Raw genomic sequence first — 6,702 nt, 5'->3', positions numbered from 1 at the left:
TATAGGTCTAGTTGGGTTGATAGACATATAGGAATTAAATAGTAACAGAATGATTTTCATGTTGACTTGGTTATATTTCCTTTGAAAAAAATTAGCATTTCGCTCTCCCTCTTTATCTCTCTCTTACTCACTACTTACCTCTCGATACTTACTACATTTCTTTTTTCTTTTTCTTTTTTTTTTTTTTTTTGAGACGGAGTCTCGCTCTGTCACCCAGGCTGGAGTGCAATGGCACAATCTCAGCCCACTGCAACCTCCATCTCCTGGGTTCAAGCAATTCTCCTGCCTCAGCCTCCCGAGTAGCTGGTATTATAGGCACCTGCCACCACACCCGGCTAATTTTTTGTATTTTTAGTAGAGATGGGGTTTCACTATGTTTGCCAGGCTAGTCATGAACTCCTAACCTCAGGTGATCCGCCTGCCTCGGCCTCCCAAAGTGCTGGGATTACAGGTGTGAGCCACGACGCCCGGCCCAATGCTTACTAAATTTCTATTAAGTTCAGAGGATATTTCACAATTCCAAAGAAGAACTGTGATGTTTATTATGATGCACATATACCATGTATATGCACACAGGTATATGTGAATGGAGATTATATTCCTTCTCCTTTGCCTTGTGCTGCAAATAGCCAAATAATCTCTGCTATAAATCATGTAATTGCTGCTTAGTAGTATTCAATTTGGATGGTGCCTCATGGGTAATCTCTAAATAGAACAACTGGTCCCAGTTTACGGATTGAAAGGTTTGTAAAAGAAGGGCAGAGATAAATGACGGGTATCCCAGTAATAACCAAAGATCAGGCACAGAAGACAATGATTCTAGAAAGTCCACAAGTCTCTAGGTAGTTGAATTCTCACCGCATAAACTGTTTTAACTTTTGTCAATTGGGTTTCTACCATACTTATTCTACATTAAATGTGGAGTTTACTTATTCCACATTAAACTGTAACTTCCCCAAGGAGAGAGGATTGTTTTTATATTTTGTAACTTCAGGTATCTACTAAAAAATTCCACACAGAGTAAAGTCATGGATGGAAAGGTTTCATTGTCCAGAGTTGGTTATTACATATTAAACAGAATTTGTCTTCGTTAACTTACCTTCCCAAGATAATTTATCTCTAAATCCACGCTTATAAAACATACCATTTTATGGAATTATTTCTAAAATGTACTAAACATAGCACTGTTTTTAAAAAAAATTCTGGCACTCAATCTACCACAATGATCCTTCTTCAATAATGGGATTATTTCTTTAGCTCTGATTTGTTAGTGGTTGGAGGTTTAATTTTTAAAACATAGATTGTTAACATTTTGGTATATAAAATGTAAAATCTACTAATGAGGTTCCAATTATTATAAATTATTTGATTTTTTAATGCGATACCTATCATTTTTCATAAAATGAAACACAAAGGAAATGCCCACAAAAAAACATATGTTGGCCAATAATAATCCATGTCTCTGATTTTCTTTTTAGTAGTGTTGATAGCAGGTCATACCATTTGGCAGTTCAGCTACCATTTCACCAATGGAAACATTCCTTCCACCCCTCTCACCCAAACCCGGAAGGAATTGAAAGAAACATCATGGTAGAACTATCCATTTAGACACGTTGTAATGGAAGACAGCTGCTTCACTATCTTTCCTCTCTCCCGGTTTATTCCTCACGCTGGTAACTGAAATGCTGGCTGCATATCAATCTCAGGAGAAGTAGGAAGGAAATGCACATAGATTTAAATGCAGCTAGAAAAAATGCAACTTGATAACTTATATAAGAAGACATTAAATGTATCTAAATAAATATATTTCATTATTTGATTTGAACATTTAATCTCATCAACATGTAACTTATGTTTTGCTATCTGCAGAATAGAATTCTGTTCAAAACCACACTCCAGAATGCTATTTTCTGGGATGCATAATTTAGGAAAAGCAATTTCTTCTTTCCTATATCTGCCCGTCCTCTCTACCAACTGTGGGCTCCTAGGTGACAGGCACCAAGTCTTACTTTTTTGTATCCTCAGGTTCTTGCTTACATTGTATCATCCATAAATTTTTGTTAAAAATGAAAGAGGATATATGGAATATTTGTATTATGAATGTTTTTAGATAGTATATTTTAGTACAAACAGGATTTTGGGGGCTGATGCAAAAGTTCGAACCTTAGACAAGTTATTAGATTGAGCCTCACAGCAACAGTAGTAATAGCTACAATTTATTCGCTGACTACTATGGTATGTACTTTATATACATTATCTCATTTATTCTTCACAATAAAAAATAATCATTCAAATGAAATTCCAAAGCAAATTTCATACACTGATTAAAAAAGAATTGCCCATTTAATATCCTGGCTAACAGAGTGAAACCCCATCTCTACTAAAAACACACAAAAAAATTAGCCAGGTGTGGTGGCGGGCACCTGTAGTCCCAGCTACTCGGGATGCTGAGGCAGAAGAATGGCGTGAACCCAGGGAGCGGAGCTTGCAGTTAGCCGAGATTGTACCACTGCACTCCAGCCGGGGCAACAGAGCGAGACTCCATCTCAAAGCAAAAAATAATTGCCCATTTAATTCTTTTAGGAAGAATCATAAATAGTTCTTTTGAAAATCTTCATACCAACCCCTTAAAGTACTATTTGAAAATAGTACTTTAGGCCAGGCATGGTGGCTCACGCCTGTAATCCCAGCACTTTGGGAGCCCCAGGCAGGTGGATCACTTGAGGTCAGTAGTTTGAGACCAGTCTTCTCTATGTGGAGAAACCCCATTTCTACTAAAAATACAAAAATTACCCAGGCGTGGTGGTGCACACCTCTAATCTCAGCCACACGGGAGGCTGAGGCACAAGAATTACTTGAACCGGGAGGTGGAGGCTGCAGACAGTCTGGGCAACAGAGTGAGACTCCATACTTTACATCAAGAATCAGAGAAGAGTGATTTGACTCAACTCACATAGCTAGTAAATGCTTAAGCTATACCATCTAACTACTTGACTCCAAGGTCATGTTCTTTCTTTTGTTAGTTAATTTTTTTTCTGAGACAGGGTCTTGCTCTGTTACTCAGGCTAGAGTGTATTGGCACAATCATGGCTCTCTGCAGCCTCCACCTCCTTGACTCAAGCGATCCACCTACCTCAACCTCCCTAGTAACTGGGACGACAGGCACCCACCACCACCACCAGCTAAATTTTGTATATATTTTTTAGAGACGGGGTTTTGCTATGTTGCCTTGGCTGGTCTCAAACTCCTAGACTCAAGTGATCCACTGTGCCTGGCTATTCCATAAAATTTTATAAAAAAATGTTTTTAAAGCATTAAAAGCAAACAGCTAGAGAAGAAACATTAGAGCCGGGCGCGGTGGCTCACCCCTGTAATGCCAGCACTTTGGGAGGCCAAGGCAGGCAGACCACCTGAGGTCAGGAGTTTCAGACCAGCCTGGCCAACATGGTGAAACCCCGTCTCTACTAAAAATACAAAACTTAGGTGTGATGGCGGGTGCCTGTAATCCCAGATACTTGGGAGGCTGAGGCAGGAGAATTGCTTGAAATCGGAAGGCGGAGGTTGCAGTGAGCCAAGATCGCACCACTGCACTCCAGCCTGGGTGAGAGAGCGAAACTGTCTCAAAAAAAAAAAAAAAAAAAAGAGAGAGAGAGAGAAGAAACATTAACAATAGTGAAAAACAAAACATTAATATTCCTAATATTCAAAGAGCTCTCAAAATCCAATAAGAAAAAGATAAACATAGCAGATAAACTGACAAAAGAACAATTAATTTACAATAGAAAAAAATGCAAGTGGACCTCAAATACATGAAAAGTGGTTAATCTCATAAGTAATCAATAAATGTAAATAAGAACTCAATAAGGTATTACTTTTTGCCAACTGACAATTTCAAAAGACAGATAATACGCAAGGTTGTTGGAGAAGGAAAAAACAGACATGCATATATATTAGCAATGACTTTGTCTGGATATCATTTTATTAATGTATAGCAAAATTCAATAATCAGCTTCTTAAATAAAGACAGTAAACGTACTTTTTAAGTAGAATAACCAAAACCCCCTTGACAATCTACAACAAAGCTATAACAAGGTATCTCCATGAATGACAAAATACAAACAGGTGGGAAGAAACCAGACACCTCCAAATTGTAAACTCCTTCCAAGGTATTCCTTGAGAAGCATGGAGGGCCAATTTGAGAACAGCAACTGAAAATGAGAGACACTACTGCCCATTCCAACTCACAGGTGAGAGTACAAAGGGTCTGAAGCTGCCCTCACAAAGGACAAGTGGCTGGTAGTGGAATGCAAATTGGGCAGGATGGGGCAATAGAATTAAAGCAAAGAAATGACCCAGGTAAAAATGGGAGAGGAGAAAACCCAGGAAACTTCACAGTATGAGGCCATAGTTTTAAAAACAGAATTGAGAATGTTAGAACTGGAAAGCTACAAAAGCTATATTGACACAACCCTCCTACCTAAATATTTAGAATAACTACTTTTACATTAAAATGAGCCGCAGGAAATATTACAGTTGAATCTCATGGAAAGTTCTTATTAGAGAGAAAAAAAAAGATAAAGGGAAAAATTATATCTATGGATAGATACAGAAAATATCTATATAGAAAATCTAACTTATTATGTCCAAACAAGCTAGAAGAAATTAAGAAAGCAATAGAAGATATTTAAATATATAAATCAGAATTAGAAAACCCAGAAATAAGGTGATAAAATGCAAAAAAAAATTAGAAATGAAAGAAATTTTTTTCAAAAATGAAAACAAAACCAGAAGGAACATGAGAGCAAACAAACGTAACTGATAATACCTTAAAAGTAATAGAAGATGAAAAGGATACAATTAAAGACAAAATAAAAACTGAAAATGTGAGGAGACAGATGCATGGTGATGATAAGCGTACAACATTATGTATGTATTCAATACCACTGAATACTAAAAAATGGTTAAGATGGTAAATTTTGTGATAGGTGCATTTTAACACAATAAAAAATTTGGAAAGAAAACAAATTAAGAAAGCAATTATAAACATGAGATAAAGTAACATATAAAGAAACACAAAGAAGAAGATTTAACATACATGTAAGAGGAGCTCCTGAAAAAGAAAAGTAATGGATTACAACAAATGTGGAATTATCATCCAAGAAAATGTTTCTAAAATTTATAAACAAAGAAATATACTTAAAGCTACGCATTGAAAGGGCACACACCAAATACACAATCTTTGGATTTTCAGACAACATGACCAAATTATTTATAACAAAAAAAAAATCAGGTTTAATAAGATTCAACAGCCAAATAGATTAAGACACTCAATGAAAAAATAAGCTAATTTTTAAAAAATTATTATTATATTTAACTAACACATAGTAATTGTACACATTTATGGATACAGTATGATACTTTGATATATATGTACAATGTGTAATGATCAAATCAGGGTAATTAGTATATCTTACCTCAAACATATATCATTTCTTTGTTAACGATAGTCACTCTACAGTGCTGTAGAACACTAGAACTGATTCCTCTCATCTAGCTTTAATATTGTATACATTAACCAACCTCTCCCAATACCTTCCTTCACCCTACTCTTCCTAGCCTTCCATTCCCTACTTCCATGAGATCAACATTTTTAGCTTCCACACGAGTGAGAACATACATTTTTCTTTCTTTTCCTTTGTTTTTTTGTTGTTGTTTTTGAGACAGGGTCTCACACTCTGTCATCCAGGCTGTAGTACAATGGAGCAATCATGGCTCACCACAGCCTCAACCTCCCAGCTCAAGCAATCCTCCCACCTCAGCCTCCTGAGTACCTAGGATTATAGGCATGTACCACCATACCCAAATAATTTTTGTAATTTTTGTAGAGACTGGGTCTTGCTTTGTTGCTCAGGCTGGTCTCAAACTTCTAGGTTCAAACAATCCTCTCTCCTCAGCCTCCCAAAGTGCTGGGATTACAGGCATAAGCCACCACACCTGGCCTTATATTTTCTTTATCTATCCATCTCTAGATGAACACAGATTGATTCCATATCTTGGCTACTATGAACAGTGCTGCAATAAACATGGGAGTGCAGATAGCTCTTCAATATACTGATTTCAATTACTTTGGATATATACCCAGCAGTGATACTGGTGAATCATATGATAGTTCCATTTTTAGTTTTCTGAGGAAACTCCATACTGTTTTCCATAATGGCTGTATTAATCTACATTCCCACCAGCAGTGTATGAGCTCCCCCTTCTCTGTATCCTCACCAGCATTTGTTATTTTTTGTCTTTTCGTTGACAGCCATTGTACCTGGAGTGAGAGATGATATATCATCATGGTTTTGATTTATACTTTCCTGATGACCAGTGATGTGGAACATTGTTTCATATACTTGTTGGCCTTTAATATGACTTCTGCTGAAAAATATCTATTCAGATTATAGCCTCATTTTTGTTAGATTATTTGCTTTTTTGCTGTTGAATTGTTGAGTTCCTTGTATATTCTGGATATTAAACTCTTGTTGGATAGTTTGCAAATATTGTCTCCCATTCTTCCAGTTGTCTTTTCACTCTGTTGATTGTTTATTCTGTTGTGCAAAAGCTTTTTAGTTTTATATAATACTATTTGTCTATTTTTGCTTTTGTTGCCTATGTTTTTGAGGTCTTAGCCATAAAATCTTTGCCCAGACCAAT

At 36.5% G+C, this 6,702-nt stretch overlaps 1 protein-coding gene across 7 annotated transcripts in view; it reads right to left on the bottom strand.

Annotated features, from left to right (window-relative positions):
• The window catches only part of CAMKMT (calmodulin-lysine N-methyltransferase), a 410,646-nt gene that overhangs the window by 297,956 nt on the left and 105,988 nt on the right, over positions 1–6,702 (bottom strand). The window lies entirely within an intron of this gene.

Source organism: Homo sapiens, chromosome 2 (genome assembly GCF_000001405.40).
Source record: "Homo sapiens chromosome 2, GRCh38.p14 Primary Assembly".
Taxonomy (NCBI): domain Eukaryota; kingdom Metazoa; phylum Chordata; class Mammalia; order Primates; family Hominidae; genus Homo; species Homo sapiens.
Note: the sequence above shows the minus strand (reverse complement) of the source record. Positions and strands in the feature narration are given on the sequence as shown.